General features: G+C 37.1%; 1 long non-coding RNA gene across 2 annotated transcripts; it reads left to right on the top strand.

Annotated features, from left to right (window-relative positions):
- Positions 1–9,673: 9,673 nt before the first annotated feature.
- On the top strand, positions 9,674–21,955 carry LOC105378783 (uncharacterized). 2 transcript variants are annotated; one of them, XR_947478.2, is made up of 4 exons: positions 9,674–9,880; positions 10,028–10,192; positions 13,975–14,056; positions 21,686–21,955. It is a non-coding gene; the product is annotated as an uncharacterized LOC105378783 (long non-coding RNA). The 2 variants fall into 2 exon arrangements; XR_947479.3 differs by having other exon boundaries at positions 9,674–9,891.
- The last annotated feature ends 2,049 nt before the right edge of the window (positions 21,956–24,004 follow it).

The following is a 24,004-nucleotide window of genomic DNA, read 5'->3' as shown; positions in this document are numbered from 1 at the left end:
GTACTTTCAATCAAGTGATCTCTTAGGGGAAACTGTGTTTTGGTTCTGGTTTTGGTTTCCTCACTTGCAAAATGAGACTGGAATAAATTGGAGGATGCTATCGGGCCCTGGACATATTTAGTCCATAGAGGGGATGCCAAACATATTGGCCCTGTGTGGTGGGTTTTTCTTTTCTTTTTTTGAACTAACATCAGATGTGCTGGCAACATGGAGCCTATTTACCTCCCAGCAATGATCTGAGCTGAGATGTGCATGCCTCTGGCATCTGCACATGCTGTCCAATCACCATCAGTCACTTCACTTGCTATGGCCCCTCTTACATGGAAGCCAAGTATCAGGGGCCATTTTTCAGCAGGCAGTAGGTCACCTCACTCATTCACCGTTAGTATTAGCTCATACCTAATGTGACTCCCAATTTTAATGGTCTGGTTTTCCATTTGCTTAATTGTGTGAATAAATCAATATACCAACCTCAACCTTGGGACTTTGGAAATACGGAGATAAATAATAAATATATCTTGCCTTTAAGACAGACACTAAACAGACGCCAATTATAACAAACCAATGAAACAGTGGATATGTGTTAACAAGAAAGAAAGCATGAAACAAACGACAAAGGACAGTTCTCTAAGAAGGGGACAGGCTTTACAGCAGGGTGGCATCAGGTAAGCAAGGAGAAAACAACTTTGCCAGTGCATTGCACACATTTGGATACAATGTAGGTTCAAAATAGATGGTTGCTGAAGAGAATGGAGTTAAATTGAATTCTACAATGAGAAACCTGAATGTCAAAGGCAAAGAGGTGAATGATAACCTTGTGTTCTGGGAGCCATAATCATTTGACCAGGGTTGTAGCATAGAATTTACATTCAGAAGAAGGGAGATATGAGGCTGGGGAGACAGAAAAAAATTCAATAATTGATATCTTGTGTGTCAGGTTGACGAGGTTTAATTTATTCTAAAGATGATAGGGTATCATGGTAGGAGATTAAGCAGGGAACACATGGATAGATTTGAAAGGTTTTTCAAAAGATCACTGTCAAGAGAATGAGTGATCAACATTAGGGGGTTATACCATAGATAGAGAAATAACTTGGGAGACTGTTGTGATAACCATGGTGAGAGAAAACCAATAGTTAAGATTTCTTTGTTGCAAATGAGAGACATTCCAAGTCAAATTCTGTTAATAAATAAGTAAGCTTATTGGCTTATGCAATGAAAGTAGTGAAGTAGGGTGGGCTTTGAAGATGGATTAAAACACCTGTCTCAGATCCATTTCTCTTTCGTTCCTGGGCTATACATTATCTTCTGGCTGGTTTTCCTCCTGTGGTGAATTAATTCAGGCTTTAAGTCTTCAGAAAATTTCCAGCAGTTGTCCCCTTGAATCTCATTGGCGAAATGGATTATGTGCTCTTCATCTAATCTTTTGTTCATGGGAATATGAAAAGCTAGGTTTAGGAGCCCCTCTTTGGGATAAGGATGGTAGAATTGCCATTCAATCAATCAGACCTATCCCTGAAGTTGGGGGTTGGATTAGGTTTTTCTGAATTATCCAGGTCATATACGGGAAAGGTGTATATGGGAACAACATTTAGATTACTATTGGGAACAGGAAAGGAGTGCTTGGGAGACAGCTATCAAGAGGTACTTTGAATGATAATGGTCTAAGTTTTTTTTTTTTTAATTTCAGGAATGAAGTAATGGAGAGGATAGATAAATGTTAAAAGGATGGAAGAATTGAGAGATGGTCATTGATTAATTATGAGAGGTTAAAAAAAATAAAGAAATTGAGAAAGGAGCCTCAACTTTCTGATATGGATAACTGGGATTTCTCAAAAATGAACATATTTTAAAGTAAAGAAAATGAGTTGACAATCCCTGATTCTTTGTTATTCAAGTGAGGTTTAGAAATAAGTTGGATGGTTGTGTTAGAGGACCAACAAGTTCATATGCCCACTGCATAATAACAGACCTAAACACTGAGGCAGCTGGGTTTACATCAGAGAAAATGACTAATGATCTCAGGGTAGCTGAGGAGATGGAAGGAGACCCTCAAACTCATCTCTCCAAGGAGTTTTGGGCTGAGGCTATTTTTATTTTATTTTATTTTATTTTATTATTTTATTTTATTTTATTTTATTATTTTATTTTATTTTATTTTATTTTATTATTTTATTTTATTTGAGACGGAGTCTCACTCTGTGGCCCAGGCTGGAGTGCAGTGGCGCAATCTCAGCTCACTGCAATCTCCGCCTCCCGGGTTCACGCCATTCTCCTGCCTCAGCCTCCCGAGTAGCTGGGACTACAGGCGCCAGCCACTGCGCCCGGCTAATTTCTTGTATTTTTAGTAGAGACGGGGTTTCATCGTGTTAGCCAGGATGGTCTCGATCTCCTGACCTCGTGATCCGCCCGCCTCGGCCTCCCAAAATGCTGGGATTACAGGCTTGAGCCACCGCGCCCGGCAGCCGGGGTTTTAAGGGGATTTATGGAGGGCAAGGGAATGAAAAATTGAGGCCATTCATTGGTTGGGGCAAGAAGGATGAAATCATCAGGATGTGGAAACTGCACTGTTTGGGTAAGTCAGCTTCTCCTGGGGTCCTTCAGGCCAGCTGATGTCAGTAATTTCACTGGTATGCAGGACTTGAAAGAATACCTCAGATGGGTAAATTTAATATTTCATAATGTTTAGGTTGTTGACTATAAAGCAGTTAAGGGGAGCTATAATTTGTGACAGGGCTTATGTGATTCTGAGGCAGTAGGCTGTGAACAACCATGAGGAAGCAGATCAGAGAGCAAGCTGACCTAATGATTAATGCTGAATGTGCTGGAAGCTTGGTTTATTTTGGTTTCTCCCCCTACCTTCTTCTATGATAAATTTTGTAAAATTTATAAGGATGGTTTCAGTTGAGTCCAGATCACAAAAGAGAAGATAGGATTGGAGGTAAAGATTAGGAGCATCATAAGATCACAGATGAGATTCCCCAAGGACAGGACTATGATAAAGGCAACCTCTGAGCATGTTACAATAAAATTGTTCTTTAAAGACATGATTCTTACAAAAGGGCAACTCTCCCCTTAGGAATAAAAGAGGTCCCACTAGCCTCTGAGAGCAGCTACTTCAACCTCAAAACCAAGGAGTTCCAGCTGAGTGGCCAGGAGAGTTGATGAGCAGCTTCTTCGCCTCCCCTTAGTGCTCCTTTGAGGGAGCTAAAATGCATTACAACTGCCACTGTTGTCTGCCCTCTGGAAGTTTACAATGTGAGACAAATGTTCAGTCTATTTAGGACAGGAACTGTGTCTGAAAATATGCCCCTCACCATACAAGAGAAGCAATGGATTCTTAGTGTCCAGAAATAGAGGTCTGACTGAAATTTGACTTGTGCTTGATAATACGTGGCTTGCCTTGTTAGGATGTTAAATATTAGAGAGGTAACTCATCACTGCAGATTAGTGAAGTCATCAAAATCATTTAGAAATAATTGCGGGCCTAATTTTAATTAGAAGTTTGATTGCTACTATTGAAACGAAATAAGAGAAATGCACACTCCTCACCCTCTGAATGTTTTTCCCATTGAAACAACAATTACTGTGTCAATCTTTAGCTCATTAGTGGGCCTTTTCTGAGATTTACATTAGATGGTTTCCAAAGAATAGAGTATTTTAGGCAGGGAATATAGTGTGGCAGGACTGTAATCAAGAAAACTCCTAGAATCAAAAGAAAAGATAGTAATGTCATTTTCTGAATGTAAGCTAATATAATGCAAGAAAAATTGATGGCTTTCAAAGGAGTAAGATAAAAAAGTATTCCAACAGGTGGGGATATTTTCATCAGTCTGGCAAGGAGAAAAAGAAGTGCCCCTAAAATGGAAAGCAACCACCTAAAAAGAAACAAATATAAAAACCTTAAAATGACTGTCTTAAAGAAATGTTGTAGGTAGATATAAGTTGTTGATTAGCATGTTGAAATGGGAGAGGTCCCCGACCCCCTCGTGGGACTTGTGACAGGGGTGTGACTCATTTGTTCACCACCACTCACTCAAGCCCCTTATGGGAGGGGGAGCATGCAGATGGGCAAGTACAGGAGCTGAGGCAAGTGCTTTTGGGCTCCAGCCCCATGGTAGCATCTAGGGGTGTGTTACAATTAATGCCCTTTTAGCAGTTGCCATCCACGGATGGCTAAGTGTTAAACCAGCTCAGTGGAGAGTTGGGGTAGCAGCCTTTTACACCCTGACTACTTGGTACCCAGGTCCTTGTCCAGTGTCCAAGAAGAATCAGGTCACTCGGACTTGAAGGATGGTGAGTGAGGGGCTTTTATTGAGTGGTGGAGGTGGCTTTCAGTGAGATGGATGGGGAGCTGGAAAGGGGATGGAGTGGGAAGATGACCTTCCACTGGGGTTTGGCTGTCTATGGTCAATTCCCCTCCAACCGTCCCTAGTCAAACTTCTCTCAACATTCAGGTGCTCCTTCTCATCTCTCCTTCTCTGCTGCACTGCTCTGCCACTCTGCCACTCTTCTACTCCTCTGTTTCTCTGCTTGTGGAGCTTGGGATCTATATGAGCAGAGGATAGGGGCATGAGAGGCCAGAGTGGCCTTGGAAAAGGCAACATTTGGACAGGAAAACTAGGAATGCCTGTTTCCATTCAGGGCTGTGTGTTTCCAGGGTTGAGGGTGGGGCCTTTGCAGGGTACTGTCCTCTTCTACCCAGTATTTTCCTGCCTTCTGTCCTTATCAATGTGATTTCAGAAATGATACACCAGAGACCAGGAAGCATCATTTATCAAATCTTATCCTCACATGGAAAGAGAGAAGAGACAGACAGAGAGGGAGAGGCAGGTGGGAAGCACAGAAACAGAAAAAGGGGCAGAGACTATGTGGAAAATAAGCATTTTGCTCAACAAAGTGGTGTACTCTGGAATAATGACAGTTCTCTGGGTTCTACATGGCCTATTTTATTCATGTCTAACTAATTTATTTTGCTCTGTTTCATATTTTCCAAAAACTGTTGTATTTCTATTTATTTGCTTATTTATTTAGAGACAGGCTGTTGCTCTGTTGTGTAGGCTGGAGTGTAGTGGTGTAGTCATGACTTACTGCAATCTCAACCTTCTGGTCTCAAGTGGTCCACCCACCTTCAGCCTCCTGAGTAGCTAGGACTACAGGCCCGCACCACCAGGCCTTGCTAATTTTTAATTTTTTTGGTAGAGATAAGGTCTTGCTATGTTGCCCAGAACATTCATATTTTGAATTTGGCTTTTCAAGTATTCCAGGATATGGTAAGAATGAAAAAGTTCAAGTGGCATGATTGACTGCTTAACAAATATCAAAATACTGTTCTAAGTATTTTGTTTGCACTACTGTGTCTAAGGGTACTTAGATAATAACAATTCTGGTCACTAACTTTTTTGCATTAATAAAGAATAAATGTGTTTTCTGAGTATGTCTTTGAGTTTATTTTCCATAAATTAATAACTAAACTAGTAAAATCAAAGATTAGGATAAGACATTAGTTTTCAAAATAATGTTATCATAACCCATTCTATATTAAAAAGAAAACAAAGAAACAAACTCAGTGGTCTGTCTTTCTCTTTGTTACTTCTTATTGCAACAAAGTGCATTTTATATAAAATGTCATCACTGGCCAATTTCTCAAATGCTAGCTGGAATTTTTTGCAGGTATCCAAGAGCTTTTTGCAAAGAAAACAAATGGTTAACCAAGTTAATTTATATAAACAAAGGAAGGGGTATATATGGCAGACACTACTAGTGCTGGCTGCCTACCAAATTATTCCTTCTCTTCTGTGTTACTAAGAGACTTATCCATCTGGAGCATCAGTGTTCCCAGGCTACAAAACAAATAAACAACAAACAAAATCCCAGCCTTCCTTGAAATTAGAGGTGTCCATGTTACACAGTGTTGGTCCCCCCAGAAAGAAAAGAAATGAATGGAAACATGCTAGACGTTTCTGGAAATGTTATTTTGGAAACTTTTATTTATTCACTCCATTATTCACTCGGTTTTAAGTAAAGTATACACACTGTGGCTCTTTATTACAATCAGCACCTGCACAAATTTATAATTCACCCTCTCTGTAACTCTTCTCAGTGGAATTAGAATGATGAGGTCAAGGCCAGTGCATTGCACAACTTCGGTGGGCACTGTAATCTATTCAAATAGTGTATTCTGAGGGCACCAACACTGTCTCTGGAAGAGGTTACAGCCTGATTCCACAGAACCAAACTGTTGTCTTACTTTATGTATAAATGTCTGCAAAATGTCATGGTTCTTTTGGAGAATTAATCGAATTGAGGTATATATTAAGGGAGAAGATATGTTGGATTTTCATAGGAGCAGCCTTGTCATTATTCTGAAATTTCTCATCAAACACTAGCACTTGAATATTTTTCTTGTGATGACAATCCCTTACTTCAGGTGGTTTGGCTGGTTCTCCGTCTCCAAGAGTGCTTTGTCCTTTATAAATGGCAACAATGACAACGGTTTGAAAAAGCCAAGTTGGAGGGAACAATTAAGAAGATAAATCTGATGATTCTGCAACTATTCTGGGCCATCAGTGGAGATGAAACGCGAACAATTTATCTCACAAAACAAGCTTAGCACAAATGCACACTGTGTCAATAGTCTTCCTCATTATAATTGATGGTAACTCTGTCCTAGTTGCTCAGGTCAGAAACAGAGTAATTCTTGACTTTTCTCTTTCTTTCACACTTCCACATCCAGTCCGACCACAAATGATGTCATCACCAACTACCATTTAAATTTCCATGTAAGTTCTTCAGTTCTGGTTTTGCTTTACTGATTTCAGATACAGCTGGAACCAGGGTTTGCAGGACCCCCGAGGTTAGATAGTTCATATTTCTCCTTCCCGCATTTACTCTGTCTCATGTCCTCAAAGCCAAAGAGTTTTAAACGGCAACTGGTTTGCATACTGACTTTCACTTTTTTTTCTTCCTTTGATTTTTGTTCTCACTAGCTCCAATGAAATGTAAAATACCTTGGAATCTTTAATGCTCAATTCTAAATTGACAGGTGTTCTAAACTTGGAATCTAGTCTGTGTGGCACTTGAAATCTCAGCAGATGTCTCCTTTTATGACCTTTGTAGTGAAGACTACTATGATGACCAGATATAGAAAATGATGTCATTATTGAGCTGATTTCTTCAGAAAGTATCTCTCTCTGAGCAAGACTGGACTGAGACATTACCTTACTTCCATGGTAAGGTGGGTGACAATGAGGCAGTAAACATTTTTATGGCGAAAAAAGTGTGTGTGTTATTTTATAGCATCCTAGGACACCCAAAGGGCTAAATCCTAAAAAGGAGGTCCAAGTAATGATAACATCAGTCTAGGGGTTCAAAGAGGTACACCTTGCCTGAGGCATCCAGTTCAGCACTTGTCTGGCTGGAAAATTTACAGAAACAATTAAAATTCCCTGTACAATAATTGTCCCAAAACTTAGGACAGTAAAGATGAAATGAAATTTAGGGAACCTTTTATTCAAATACCTCCTTTAGTAGAACTACAGGCATGATATTCCTTGACCAGATTTACACAGCAATTTAGAGGATGATTTGGACTGAAAACTTGAAAAAAGAAAAATCGTTCAGAGCAATCTGAGCTGTGTGAAGTATGTAAAATATATCAGGCCCAGAGAGATGGGAGTGTGGGACTTCAGTCATGTCACCTCCTCCCCCATGCCTGAGGGCAATTGTTTAAAGTAATTTTGTTCCTGACTAGCTGTCTCACGCATTATCTTCGTATTTCTGGAATTTCAGTTTGTTTTTTCTTTTTATTTTCTTTTCTTTCTCTTTTCCTTTTTCTTTTTTTTTCTTTTTTTTCTTTTTCTTTTTTTTTTTTTTGAGACAAAGTCTTGCTCTATTGCCCAGGCTGGAGTGCAGTGACGTGATCATAACTTACTGCAGCCTCAAGCTCCCAGGCTTAAGCAATCTTCCCACCTTAGCCTCCCGAGTAGCTGGGACTACAGGTGTGCACCATCTCACCAGGCTAATTTATTTTATTTTATTTTTTTATTTTCAGTAGAGATGAGGTCTTGCTATGTTGCCCAGGCTGCTCTCAAACTTCTGGACTCAAGTGATCCTCCTGCTTTGGCCTCCCAAAATGCTGGGATTATAGGCATGAGCAACTGTGCCTGGCCATGGAATTTGTGATACAAAGAAAAATATATAGCTCATCAATAGATTATGCTATTTTAACGTAAATTATTGGTAAACAGTTCTGGAACTGCCTCTTCTTTTTCATTAGAAATCTTTTCGATGTATCAGAAAGCTGAACTTTGAAAAAAAAAAAAGAAAAGAAAATCAATTGATAACTGCTGTTAATTGGAGTATATATTTAGGACAACTTGACTCTATCCTCCCAGATTGCTGTCCAAAGCAGGGTCCAAGTGAACTCTACTTACGTTAATTTTTCCTCAGTTTCTTCTTTTTAGTTTATTGAGAGAATACAGATGAAGTACTTAGTTTTTTGCCTGTTATTGCTAAGACAGCGATCTCAGGAGGGAGCTGTCATGAGTTCAGAAAGTTTCCCTCTAGAGCCTCAAGAACATGAAAATAGATCTTCAAAGCAGGCAGGCTGGGGTCACAATGTGGACAAGAAATTTCAGGGTTTGAAAAACTGTAATTAATCCCTAGAACCTAATGGGAACCCAAAGTGACTTAAGTAACCTACTCTTAACCCAAAAGGAAATAATAATAATAATCAATTGGCCAATGATTGCTATTTTCCAATAAAGTTTTTAAAAATGAACAAAGAGATCCACATTCATTTTCATTTTTATTTTTAGAACTAAAGAATTTGTAGCTTAATTGAAAGAAAAACATAATTTCATTGTTTAATGGCCTTGAAAAAAATTGCAATTTAACATTATGCTGTGATTGGGCTTTTTATACTGCATTTTCATAATCATATTTCTTTAGACTATCACATATAATAATTCTCTATTTTACACTGAAGAATTATTTACCTAAAGTAGTATTAAATTAGACAAATGTTCTGTTTAAAAAGGTTTTTAGCATATGTTTCAGTTTTAGAAAATCACCTACAAATGAATATGTGAACTTTTTGCAGGGAATTACACTGCAATAATCATCGCTATTTAAACACTACTTAAAACCGGAAAAAGACTAAAGTCATCATCATGTCTAGCCTCACTAACTTCAGTAAATTAAAGATTAGTGGCACCAATTTATAGTAACTACTGGAGTAATTGCTTACTACTTTTTACATAGTATTTAAGCCTGTTATATACTGTTAGTACATTTTCTATGAAGATCGAAGGGAGAAACTTCCCTTTGGTCTCAGCATCAGAGATAGTTATATTTCTCCTAAGCAACTGGTTTGTTTGGAGAATAATAGTATCATTTTCTCTTCTTTCTTATTTGGAACTTTCATAAGAAGTTCCATACACAGCTTTCATTTATATAGCCAATCATTTCATTTATATGTCCAATCATCTATTGAGTTTTATTATATATTAGACATCCTCTTAGGCACTGTAGACACTAAAATAAAGCAAGATTCCTGCCCTTAAGCACTCAAAATCTAATGGGGAGGACAAACCAGTAACTAACAGAAAATCCCTTTGCTATGTAAGTGTGAGAATGCCAGAGAAGGTTGCTATGGGAACCGTTGGAAGAGGAATCTGAGTCATAGGCATCAGGGAAGGCTTTTCGTAGGAGTAGATGTCTATACCAAACCCTGAAGAATGAATAGAAATAAGCTGTTAGAGAAGTTGGCGGAAAGTAGGGAGATAAAGAGAATAAGAATATTTACCAGGAAAACAAAATAGAGAGCACCAAACCCCAGAGGAAAGAGACAGCATGGAGTGTGGCTGGAGCAGAAAATGTGTGTGGGAGGTATTAATATGGCGGTGGGATAGTTAGGTTCCTAATGGAACTCATGCATCAGAAAAAGAGACTGGACTATCCTAAGGCAAGGGAGAGCCATTGCAACTTTTAATTTTTATTTATTTATTTATTTATTGAATTTTAGGAAGATCATTCTGGTGTGAAAATTGGTTTGGTTGGGGATCAAGCCTGGAGCACTGGAAACAAATTAGGATACTAAATCAGTTCTCAGAATCGAAGTTGAATGTCCTAACAATAGGAAGAGATTGATTGGAGACAGATTAAGGAGATGGAACCCGTAAAAGACATAGTAAGTAACTGGATTAAGGTTGATAGTGTAAATGTAATATTCTATTATCCTGTGAGATTTGTAAGGAAGCCTGGTCTTCTGTTTGCATTTCTGTGTGTACAACTTGCCTTTTATTACAAAAGATTTGAACTGAAGCTAGCCTCATTACTTCGAGTATCTGGGTATCTGTATAAAGTCATTTAGGTATTTTCAGAAGACCCTCTGACCCAAATAAAATATTGTCCACTTATATCTGAAATTCTACAATTAGAGCTCCATTCTTTTTTTTTTTTAGAGCTCCATTCTTTTTATTTAAGCTACACACTCTGCTTATTCAACAAAGCTTATATGTCACTTATAATTCAAAGTGGATGAGTTTATTGTCTCTTTTCCTGAGAAAATTAGAAAGAGCATTATAAGAAGACTTGCAGTAAAAGAGCAGTGGGAGTAGGGGTTGGGAAGGAAGTATACGATCCGCAAGGAGAGGCTAAGGACACAGAAAGAAGCAGGTGGAAGGTGGGCTTTCTTAACCAGTCTCCCCTCTCCCACTCTTGCCTTGCTTCATCCTGCCAAAAACCAGAAACTGCAGGCATCATGTTAAAACATAAATTAGATAATATAACTTCTCTGCTCAAAAGACTTGAATGGCTTTGCTGTTCATTCTGACTAAAGCCAAAGTAGCCTCCAAGATCCTACAGATCTATTACACCCTACCCCATGATGTTACTTCTTTGAATCTTCTGTCATCTTTCTTTCATCCACATGCTGGCTTTCTTGTTAGTTCATAAACCCATTGAGCATTCCTGTGTCAGAACATTTGTTTCATCTCTCCTCTGTTTAAATGATCTATCTCTAGAAAGACAATTGCTTGTTTCTTCATTTGCTTAGTCTTTACCCATATTTAATATTCTTTATTGAGGTCTCCCCTCATCATTTTATTTAAAATATGCCCCTTTCTCCACACTCCCTACTTCATTCTTTCTGTAATTTACCACCATCTAACATACTATCCACGCTACTCAAGTATGTTTTTTTTTTTTAATTGTCTGACTCTCGCTGGAATGAAATCACTTTGTTGCATCCCTAGATGTATACCACTACCAGACACACAATAAAGGTTAGTAAATATTTATCAAATTTCGCCTTACCAAAGTCTAGCTCTGCGGGTCAGGAAGTATTTGCGGATGGAGAAATAAATAGAGTATCACCAAGTAAGCCAGTAATAAAGTTGGAACAAGGGTGCAGTTCATTCTCGCTACGTGACTTTTACTGGAATACTACATGAGTTATATAGTCATTGTCATTCTTTCCCCATCTTCCTATTTTATATAAAATATATAAAATTCCGGTTGGAATGGGTCATCTGGAGAATTCAAGTCAGGATTCTCTTTAGCTCAACATACAGGCAGATTTCCAGAAAAATTCCTCCATATGCTATTTCTTTTTTCTCTAATGTCCTTTTCTCAAACTTCCTGTGCTGGCCACACCAAGCATGCTCTGTTGACTTAGCTTTGACATTCTCCAGGTGCTGAGAAGAGTCTTGCCAACGGACTCACCTGGGGTGAAACCTTTTCATGTTCTTCTGCCCCTAATACCAGAAGTGATCGGTCTCACTCACCCAGACTTTGAGTTAGGATTCAAAAATTATTTCCCCCATTTCTGTGAAAAATGCCACTGGATTTTTGATATGGATTTCACTGAATCTGTTCTATAGATTTCTTTGGGTGTTAAGGGTATTTTAACAATATTATTTCTTCCAATCCATGAACAAAAGATATCTTTCCATTAATTGGTGTCTTCTTCAATTATTTTCATTAATGTTTTCTAGTTTTTCGTGAACATATCTTTTGTGTGTTTGGTTAAATTTATTCCTAAGTATGTTTTTCTTTTTGATATTGTTGTAAGTGAGGTTTGTTTTAATTTCCTTTTTTGAATAGTTTGATAGTAGTGTAAAAAATGCTATTGATTTCTGCATGTTGATTTTGTTTCTTGCAACTTTACTCAATTTATTTATTAGTTCTAATAGTTTTTAATGGTGTCTTTAGAGTTTTCTATATATAAGGTCTTATCATCTATAAACAGATAATTTTACTTTTTTCTTTCTTTTTTGGATGACTTTTATTTATTTTTCTTGTCTAATTGTTCTGGCTAGGACTTCCAGTACAATGTCAAATAGAAGTGGTAGGAGAGGGCATCCTTGCCTTGTTACTAATTAAAAGAAAAGCTTTCAGTATTTACCCATTGATTATGTTAGCTGCAGTTTTCCATAAATGGCCCTTATTGTGTTGGGGTATGTTCTTTATACACCCTTTTTGTTGAGAGTTTTTATCAGGAGTAAATATTGAGCTTTGTTAATACTTTTTCTATGTCTTTTGAGATGGTCATATGGTTATTTTTCATTTTGTTAATGTGGTGTATCATATTGATTAATTTCTGTGTGTTAAAACAAACTTGAATCCCAGGGATAAATCACAATTGGTCATGGTGTATAATTTTTTTCATGTGCTGTTGAATTTAATTTGCTAGTAGTATTTTGTTGAGAAATTGTGCAACTATGTTCATTAGATATATGGTTCTCTTGTGGTGTCTTTGGCTTTGTTACCAGAGTGATGTTGGCCTCATAAAATGAGTTGGGAAGTGTTTTCTCTTTTACTGTTTTATAGAAGAGTTTAAGAAGAATTGTTATTAATTCTTTAAATGTTTTACACGATTCAGCTGTTAAAACTATCAAGTTCTGGGTTTTTCTTTGTTGAGAGGTTTTGTTTGCAGCTTAAAGCTTAATAACAAATAAGTTATTAGTCTGTTCAGGGCTCCTATTTCTTCTTGATGCAGTCTTGATAAATTGTATGTTTCTAGGAATTTATCCATTTCTTCATGATTATATAATTTATGGCATATAATTATTTATAATAGTCTCTTATGATCTTTTTTATATCTGAGGCATCTGTTGAAATATCTTCTTTTTCATTTTTGATTTTACTAATAAGTCTTTTTTTCTTAGTTATTCTAGCTAAGGATTCAAGTAACTTGCAAGTAGTTACTATCATTCTTATTTTGTAAATAAGGAAACTGAGTCTCAGTAAAGTTCAATATCTGGCCATGCTATGTCACTTTCAGTCAGCAAAATTGAATCCACAGTGAGTAGCTCAGTAGAAAATATTTAATATGGAGAACTATTCTCAAAGGAGTTGGCAGAGCTGAAAAAGCAAATAAGAGGTAGTGAAGCAACTCAGAACTCAGGAATAGCAAAAAGCCATCATCAGCCCTGGGACTGAAGGTCCAAGGAGTAGGTGGTATTACCAGACTCCAAGTGCTAGAGTGGCCTGATGTAAGCTACAATCACTACAGTGCAAGAACTATAAACTACAAAGAAGATGGACCCTGCTGCCCGAGGACTCCCTGTAGCAGAAAGAGTGGGAGAGAAAGAAACCAGCTTTCTTCTTGTTTCACCTTTCATTTCTCTTCCAGTGCCCTCCATTGGCTGATCCTAGCTAGAATACAACTGGCAAAAGAGCTTGTGAAATGCAGTTTGATGAAGTCAGTGCCCTGCAATACAGAATAGAGCAGAGAAAGTACAAGGAAAAGATCGAAGAGCAAGTAGGCTAGTGACCAGAATATCAAACAGGGACTCACAGCCAATAAGTGGCAAACCTGTGATTGAAACTCAAGTCTTTATACTCAGAAGACACAAGTACACCTTGACTTTTTAAAAATGCTCTAGTGTCCTTCAAGTGAAAGTAACTCTTTTTTTTGTATGTAGTATATCTTAATTTTTTCCTTGTTTCTGCTTTTTAAAAAACTAGCTCATAGGATGAAGAGACTGTGTTAAAAAGGGGACAGAAAAATGATGGGATACCTTGCTTGCACCTTTCCAGGTACTTCCAGGTAAACATTAAACAATGGTATGGATATCAGAAAATGACACTACTGTAGAAACAAGCAGCCAAGCATAATATTGGTGAAGACAGGCTTTATTGTTGGACAAACTGGCTTTGGAATAATATGACGGATCACACTTGCTTGTCACGTAATCTTGGGATAAAATTATGTAAATTATTTGATCTTCAGTTTCCTCATCCATAAAATGGGAATAATAACATGAACTGTTCATAGTTGCATTCATAGTGGAATTTATGAGGGATAAATTAAAGTATATATCATAAATACATAGATAGTTTTAATTTATTCATGTATATATACATATACATACACATATAAATATACATATATATAGTCACCTCATTATAATAGTGACTATTATATATTAGTCACCTCATTAAGTTCCTGATGTTTACTAGTGGTCAATCAGTGGCAGATACTGTTGGTGTCATGTCACGCAGTGTGAAAAGACAGCTAGAATTTGAATAGAATAGCATGCAGTTCAGAACATCCCACACTTCCTTCAAGGTAAAATTCACAGGACCCAAAAGTCAGTATTTTTGTACTAGATCATCTCCCTCAAGTGTCATGCTACAAATTCTTGAATTTTGACAAATTTGAAAAAAAAACTTACTTTAGACACTGAAGTTTCAGATATTCACTTTGATTCACTATAGTGATAGTACTTTGGAATAATTTCATCATTCGTAATGAATCCTCAGTAGAAAATGAATTTAAAGTGATTATATTCTAATGGAATAACATGGCAGTTTATGTAACCATATTGAAGAGGTTATCAAGAACTTGGATCAATTTAGATTTATTTTGCTATTTTTTATTTGGAAATGGAATGCAATATTATCTAAAAATTCTCACCTTGGGAATGTAAATTGGTTCAACGATTGTGGAAGACAGTGTGGTGATTCCCCAAAGGCTTAGAACCAGAAATACCATTTGACCCAGCAATCCCATTACTGGGTATATACCCAAAGGAATATAAATTATTCTATTATAAAGATACATGCACGCATATGTTCATTAAAGCACTATTCACAATAGCAAAGACATGTTATCAACCCGAATGCCCATAAATGATAGACTGGATAAAGAAAATGTGGGGCATATACACCAGGAAATACTACGCAGCCATAAAAAGTAATAAGATAATGTGCTTTGCAGGGTCATGGATGGAGCTGGAAGCCATTATCCTCAGCAAACTAACACAAAAACAGAAAACCAAACACTGCATGCACTCACTTATAAGTAGGAGCTGAACAATCAGAACACATGGACACAGGGAAGAGAACAACACACACTGTCAGGGAGTCAGTAGGGAGGGAGAGCATCAGGATAAATGGCTAATGCACGTGGGGTTTAATACCTAGGTGATAGGTTGATAGGTGCAGCAAATCACCATAGCACACGTTTACCTACGTAAGTAACAAACCTGCACATCCTGTACATGTATCCAAGAACGTAAAATATAATTTAATTTAATTTAATAGAATTTAATTTAATAGAATTTAATAGAATTAAATTTAATTTTAAAAAATACATATATATGTATGTGTATATATATATGCATGTGTATATATATACATATACACATATATGCATTTATGTGTATATATCATATGTGTGTGTATATGTATAGGAATATGTATTTGAAAAAAATAAGGTTTTTCTCAAACTTGTCAAAATTCAAGAATTTGTAGCATGACATTTGAGGGAGTTGATCTAGCACAAAAATACTGCCTTTTGGATCCTGTGAATTTTACCTTGAAGGAAGTCTGGGATGTTCTGAACTGCATGCTATTCTATTCAAATTCTAGCTGTCTTTTCACACTGCATGACATGACACCAACAATGTGTGTGTGTGGTATATATATGTGTGTGTGTATATATATATGTGTTTATATATTATATATATAATATATATGTATTATATTTGTATCATATATGTGTATATATAATATATATATAATATAATATGCATTATATAATATGTATATAATATATAATATGCATTATATAATATGTATATATTATATAATATATATACTATGTAGATAATTATATAATATATATTATGTATATATTATATTATATATATGTATATATAATATAATATATATAACATGTATATATTATATATTATATATATACACATATATATATAATTAAAAAGAGCCATTCCGGAGCCATGGTCTAACATTTTCCAGACTGGATCAATAAAACAAGCCTCAACAAGTTCTTAAAATCTTAAATAAAATATTCTCGCCTAAATATGTTTCCACTGCTTTCTCATGGCAAGGAATTTCCTAAGATAGATAGTAGATATGTGACCCTTTGTAAGAATAAATTGACAGATACAGTTTCTCTTAGCTTAATGCTGACATAAATTTAATTTGAATGTGGATAAGAAGTAGCTGTTGGAATTCACAGGAACCACTGAATTCACGTCTGATTCCAAGAGTACGGAAGCATCATTATTAATTTCCTATTGTTTGAGACATGTATAGTCTCTTCATCACCATAAATTATTTTGCCTTTAGGCATGCTGTTGGACATAATAAATAATTTCCTTTTTGTCATTCTGCCTTGCATCTGTTAACAAGTTGAGCTGAATCCACACACCATTTTTGGCATATTCATATGCTGACCAAACTATAACCTCCCCTTCGTTCACCCCTGAGCCTATCTCTCACTAGCTATCTCTCTACTACCAAATACTTATCTCTCACTCTGAGGGCAAAGGTATACCAGTTCAAAGAAGAGAGAGACACCAGAGAAGAAAAGGCAAAAGTGAAAGGGCATTTCCCAATATCCAGAGTAAAGCTAGTCCAGGCTTCACATCCATGGCTTTCAAAGGTTGCAACCTCAAATTAATAGGAACAGCTTCTGCACCTGTGTTCCTTCACAAACGGGAGAACTTCAAAATCACCTGAAAGGTCAAAATGTTCCTACTTTTGGTTTTTCCTGTTATTAAATAAAGTAGCTGAGAGCTGGGTCTGTGGTTAACCAGGACCACTGCTGTCCCCTCAAGAAAGGATATAAACAAATAGCCAGAAAGCCAGCTGGGCACAGTGGCTCACACCTGTAATCCCAGCACTTTGGGAGGCCAAGGCAGAAGGATTACATAAGCCCAGGAGTTTGAGACCAGCCTGGGAAACATGGAAAGACCCTGTCTCTACAAAAAATTTTTTAAAATCTGGGCATGGTGGCATGCCTATTGTCCCAGCTACTAGGCAGACGGAGGTGGGAGGATCACTTGAGCCCAGGAGTTGAAGGCTGCAGTGAGTTATGATCATGCCAATGCCCTCCAACTTTGGCAACAGAATGAGTCCCTGTCTCTAAGAAAAAATAAATAAATAAAAGAGTCAGAAAATAGTTAACACCTTCATAAAGCAGCTTCTCCCCTTCTCCCAGTTTTTGCTGTAACTCACAGTTATTGCTATAACTGCAGTATTCATTTTATTTCCCTCCAAGTTCAGTGTACTAATATAACCCTATTAACCAGACAGAAGTAGGATACTGCACTAGACTCCTATATATCTTTCATTCATTCAGAAAATATTTATTGAGCAACTGTAGTATGCTAAGTACAGTCTTAGTTTCAGTTACCAAAACAGACAGAAATCACTCCTCCTGTTGAATTTACATTCTGGTGGGAGAAAGAGACGATAAATAAGATAAATAATATATAATATGTTAGATGATAACTGTGGTGGAGGAATCAAACAAGAAGGTATATAAAGAATGTTAAAGGTAGGGAGTATATCCAACATCTTATTAAATGCCAGTGTCACCCTAGGGTTTATGAAAGCTCTTGAGATTTAACTGAGAGTCATTCTCATGATATAAACAATTAATATATCAAGCCTTACAAAAATGACTCCACTCATTTGAATAGTAGAAGTTTGACAGTTAATTCATAAGAATTTTCAGGACCATGTACTGGCTTATTTAATGATATAATTCTATCTTTAATGATAGATGACAGGGTCTTGGGTTATGACTAAAAAGTGTTCATTCTTTTTTAAAAAAAATTTTTTATTTTTGACAGAATTAGAATTTTTTTATTATACTTTAAGTTCTAGGGTACATGTGCACAACGTACAGGTTTGTTACATATGTATACATGTGCCATGTGGGTGTGCTGTACCCATTAACTCATCATTTACATTAGGTATATCTCCAATGCTATCCCTGCCCCCTCCCCCCACCCCATGACAGGCCCTGGTGTGTAATGTTCCCCACCCTGTGTGCAAGTGTTTTCATTGTTCATTTCCCACCTATGAATGAGAACATGCCGTGTTTGGTTTTCTGTCCTTGCGATAGTTTGTTCAGAATGATGGTTTCCAGCTTCATCCACGTCCCTACAAAGGACATGAACTCATCATTTTTTATGGCTGCATAGTATTCCATGATGTATATATGCCACACTTTCTTAATCCAGTCTATCATTGATGGACATTTGGGTTGGTTCCAAGTCTTTGCTATTGTGTATAGTGCCACAATAAACATACTTGTGCATGTGTCTTTATAGCAGCATGATTTATAATCCCTTGGGTATATACCCAGTAACGGGATGGCTGGGTCAAATGGTATTTCCAGTTCTAGCTACTTGAGGAATTGCCACACTGTCTTCCACAATGGTTGAACTAGTTTACAGTCCCACCAACAGTGTAAAAGTGTTCCTATTTCTCCACATCCTCTCCAGCACCTGTTGTTTCCTGACTTTTTAATGATGGCCATTCTAACTGGTGTGAGATGGTACCTCATTGTGGTTTTGATTTGCATTTCTCTGATGGCCAGTGATGATGAGCATTTTTTCATGTGTTTTTCGGTTGCATAAATGTCTTCTTTTGAGAAGTGTCTGTTCATATCCTTCACCCACTTGTTGATGGGGTTGTTTGATTTTTTTTTTTTTTTTGAAATTTAAGTTCTTTGTAGATTCTGGATACTAGCCCTTTGACAGAAGGGTAGATTGCAAAAATTTTCTCCCATTCTGTAGCTTGCCTGTTCACTCTGATGGTAGTTTCTTTTGCTGTGCAGAAGCTCTTTAGTTTAATTAGATCCCATTTGTCAACTTTGGCTTCTGTTGCCATTGCTTTTGGTGTTTTAGACATGAAGTTATTGCCCATGCCTATGTCCTGAATGGTATTGCCTAGGTTTTCTTCTAGGGTTTTTATGGTTTTAGGTCTAACATTTAAGTCTTTAATCCATCTTGAATTAATTTTTATATAAGGTGTAAGGAAGGGATCCAGTTTCAGCTTTCTACATATGGCTAGCCAGTTTTCCCAGCACCATTTATTAAATAGGGAATCCTTTCCCTATTTCTTGTTTTTGTCAGGTTTGTCAAAGATCAGATGGTTGTAGATGTGTAGTGTTATTTCTGAGGGCTCTGTTCTGTTCCATTGGTCTATATCTCTGTTTTGGTACCAGTACCATGCTGTTTTGGTTACTATAGCCTTGTAGTATAGATTGAAATTGGGTAGTGTGATGCCTCCAGCTTTCTTCTTTTGGCTTAGGATTGTCTTGGCAATTCGGGATCTTTTTTGGTTCCACGGGAACTTTAATGTAGTTTTTTCCAGTTCTGTGAAGAAAGTCATTAGTAGCTTGATGGGGATGGCATTGAATCTATAAATTACCTTGGGCAGTATGGCCATTTTCATGATATTGATTCTTCCTATCCATGAGCATGGAATATTCTTCCATTTGTTTGTATCCTCTTTTATTTCATTAAGCAGTGGTTTGTAATTCGCCTTGAAGAGGTCCTTCACATCCCTTGTAAGTTGGATTCTTAGGTATTTTTTTTTCTTTGAAGCAATTGTGAATGGGAGTTCACTCATGATTTGGCTCTCTGTTTGTCTGTTATTGGTGTATAGGAATGTTTGTAATTTTTGCACATTGATTTTGTATCCTGAGACTTTGCTGAAGTTGCTTATCAGCTTAAGGAGATTTTGGGCTGAGACGATGGGGTTTTCTAAATATACAATCATGTCATCTGCAAAGAGGGACAATTTGACTTCCTCTTTTCCTAATCAAATACCCTTTATTTCCTTCTCCAGCCTGATTGCCCTGGCCAGAACTTCCAACACTATGTTGAATAGGAGTGGTAAGAGAGGGTATCCCTGTCTTGTGCCAGTTTTCAAAGGGAATGCTTCCAGTTTTTGCCCATTCAGTATGATATTGGCTGTGGGTTTGTCATAAATAGCTCTTATTATTTTGAGATACGTCCCATCAATACCTAATTTATTGAGAATTTTTATCACGAAGGGCTGTTGAATTTTGTCGAAGGCCTTTTCTGCATCTATTGAGATAATCATGTGGTTTTTGTCATTGGTTCTGTTTACGTGATGGATTACGTTTATTGATTTGCATATGTTGAACCAGCCTTGCATCCCAGGGATGAAGCCCACTTGATCATGGTGGATAAGCTTTTTGATGTGCTGCTGGATTCGGTTTGCCAGTATTTTATTGAGGATTTTTGCATTGATGTTCATCAGGGATATTGGTGTGTCTCTACCAGGCTTTGGTATCAGGATGATGCTGGCCTCATAAAATGAGTTAGGGAGGATTGCCTCCTTTTCTATTGATTGGAATAGTTTCAGAAGGAGTGGTACCAGCTCCTCTTTGTACCTCTGGTAGAATTCGGCTGTGAATCAGTCTGGTCCTGGACTGTTTTTGTTGGTAGGCAAAAGTGTTCATTCTTAATCAGTAGGCTGGCCAGTTCTGGTCAGTCTCAGTCCTCCATTCCAATATGACTCCTGAGGTCTTGTGTGGTGCTCCTCACAGTGACCTTATTCTGGCTGGATCTGCCCAGATATATGACTTACTTGTGGGCCTGACAGAATCCAGCTTCTTATGAGCTGTTCTGTTCAAATGGTGCTTAATGGCTCATGATGGCAAGCTCTGTCTTTATCAGGGTGCAGTAGCGTGTTATGAGTTGTCTATCAAATGGTTTGTAATCCATTGCAGCAGATGACATGACTTTTTTATTTAGAACACTCAAGGTCTGTATTGTAGTTTTTTAAACCACAGCTTGCTATAAACTCCACATAGCAATTTTCTCATCATAGATATCTATAATGCTATATGAACTATCCAGACATACCGCCCAATGTCAGGGCTGCCTACACTGTAGCCTGTATCAAGTGCTGAGGGCTTTATTGCTCTGGGCTCATTAATAGACCCATATTCTCAAGTGTGGAATATGTGCTTCTAGAACCCAGAAATGTCTACCCAGTGTTGTGATTCCCTCTTAGTTGTGAAAATTTCAAAATAAAATAATTTGTTCTTTAATGTGAGGGGATTTTGCGGCATACCCTCGAATCCTGAACCTCTAAAAATGTCATTAATTTGGCAGGACGCTTCCTAAGATTTCTCTTCCACTCTCTGAAGTACCTCTAAGGTACTTTCCACTTCTTTCTTATTTGATCCCATAAACATGATGCCTCTGATTCACTGAACTACATTGATATTCTGTGGAATGTTCAGACAATCCAGATCCCTTTGGATTATGTTATGAAAAGCCCAGTAAGTTAGCATAGCCCTGGGGCAAAATCATAAATGTAAAATGTTCTCCATCCCAGGTGAATGAAAATTGCTTCTGTTCCTTCCTCCTGATAGAAATGGAAAAGAATGTATTCGCAAGATCAGTGGACACATTTAATGTCCTGAGGCAGCATTAACCTGCTCTAGCAAAGATACGTCATCTGGCACAACAGCTGCAATCGGAACAAGTATTTGTTCAAGTTTATGAGAGTCCACTGTCACCCTCCAAGACCTGTCTGCTTTTTCAGAGCAATCGTGGTGTGTTAAATGGCGCATTAACAGGATCATCCCTGGCCGGGTGCGGTGGCTCACGCCTGTAATCCTAGCACTTTGGGAGGCTGAGGAGTGTGGATCACGAGGTCAGGAGTTTGAGACCAGCCTGGCCAACATAGTGAAACCCGTCTCTACTAAAAATACAAAAAATTACCTGGGTATGGTGGTGAGCGTCTGTAATCCCAGTATGGGCAGCTGAGGCAGGAGAATCGCTTGAACCCAGGAGGCAGAGATTGCAGTGAGCCTAGATCACTCCACTGCACTCAGGAACTCTTCCTTAGGATGAGGTGGTTGTTGTTTTGTTTTAATTATCTTTCTTGGAGTGAGGGAGTTCCTGAGGCTTCCAATATGCTTTCCCTCCTAGAATAACTATTACCCCATAGGCCAAGGATTAATGTGGCCTTTTAAGATGATCTAAAAACTTATTGTCTACAATATAAGCTCTCTTTTTATGGTTTTTTCAAATATGCCTTCCAAGAAATAATTTTCAACAATGAAAATTCTACTGGTTAACAAATATTTTAAAATGTGAAAATGTACTCTTACTAATAATCACTTCACCAGTGATGACAAGAGTATGGTAAAATGGGCACTTTTGTGTTGCTGTTTCTGGAGTTGCTATGTTGACACAGGACAATTTGCAACATATGTCAAGAATTTCAAAAATGTTCCCACCTTTTGAACTGAACTTCCCAATTCTAATAATGTATCCTAAGGTAAAAAATAATAAATATAATTATACTTAAGAACATATGGATTTCAGTATTTGTTGAAATATTACTTCCATATTTTCATTACTTAAACAAGTACAGACTAAGAAATACGTGATTCTAATAAAACAAAAAATAGAAAATATAGATTGGGGGAGGTATGTAAAGTTACATTGCCAAAATCTCATTCGCCAGAAATAATCATTGTTAACATTTTCTGGCTGATTCTTCCAGTTGTTTTCCAAGTGATCAGAAACACAAATACATGCAAAAAATAGATTACCATAAAATAATGTTTTATTTAATAATGTTTTTTCCCATTTACAAATAATAATTCTCTTCAATTCTGTAATACCATAATATATAAATGTACATCATTTTACTTAGGAACCACATGGCTTTCTATTATGAGACCATGCCAATATGTTTTTTAACAATCTAGCATTGCTAGACATTTAGGTTGCTTTCCACTGTTCATGGTTTATGTACAACACGGAGATGAATATCTGTCTGTACATACCTATGGATACTTCTTTAATTGCATGCTTAGAATAAATACAAGGAATTCAATTTCTTTTTTCTTTCTTTTTTTTATTTTTATCTCAATTTTTTTGAGACAGGGTCTTGTTCTGTCACCAGGCTGGAGTGCAGTGGCACGATCATGGCTCACTGCAGCCTCAACCTCCTAGGGTCAAGCAATCCTCCCGCTTCAGCCTCCTGAGTAGCTAGGACTACATAAGTGCACCACCAGACCCAACTAATTTTGAAATTTTTCTTTTGTGGAGACAGGGTTCGCTATGCTGACCAGACTGGTTTCCAACTCCTGGCCTCAAGCAACCCTTTCATCTTAGGCTCCCAGAGTGCTAGGATTATAGGTGTGAGTCACTGTGCCTGGCCCAATTTCTTTAAAGTACCCAATATTTAGGGTCTTTGATATATATATTGTTAAAGTATCTTGTAGGGAAGTTATATCAACTCCATGAGTGCTTGGAAATACCTATTTCCCCACAGTTCTGACAGCACAAGATGTTACTAGTGTTTAGATAAAACAACATATTTTAAGTATATGTCTTTTGTTACTATAACATGTGAACATTTTAAATGTTTGTCATATTTTCTGTAGTGTATCATCTATGCATCAAGCTTAGACCATTTTTGTCTTTTTTCATATTTTTAATTATTGATTTCTAAGAGCTTTTTAGATAGTTTGGTTTGTCATATTTCCTTCAACATTATGTTTGTATGTATCCATAATTAAAAGCAGCTTTTAAATTCTGTGCATTTAAATATACTAAATATTTTCTTTGTGACTTCTGCTTTGTTTCTCAGAAATTCCCTTCTATACCAAGATTATATAATAATTCACCCTTATATTCTGCTAGCCCTTTTAGATACCATTTTAAATATTAAA

This window comes from Homo sapiens, chromosome 1 (assembly GCF_000001405.40).
Source record: "Homo sapiens chromosome 1, GRCh38.p14 Primary Assembly".
Classification (NCBI taxonomy): Eukaryota; Metazoa; Chordata; class Mammalia; order Primates; family Hominidae; genus Homo; species Homo sapiens.
This window is presented reverse-complemented; position numbering and strand designations above follow the sequence as displayed.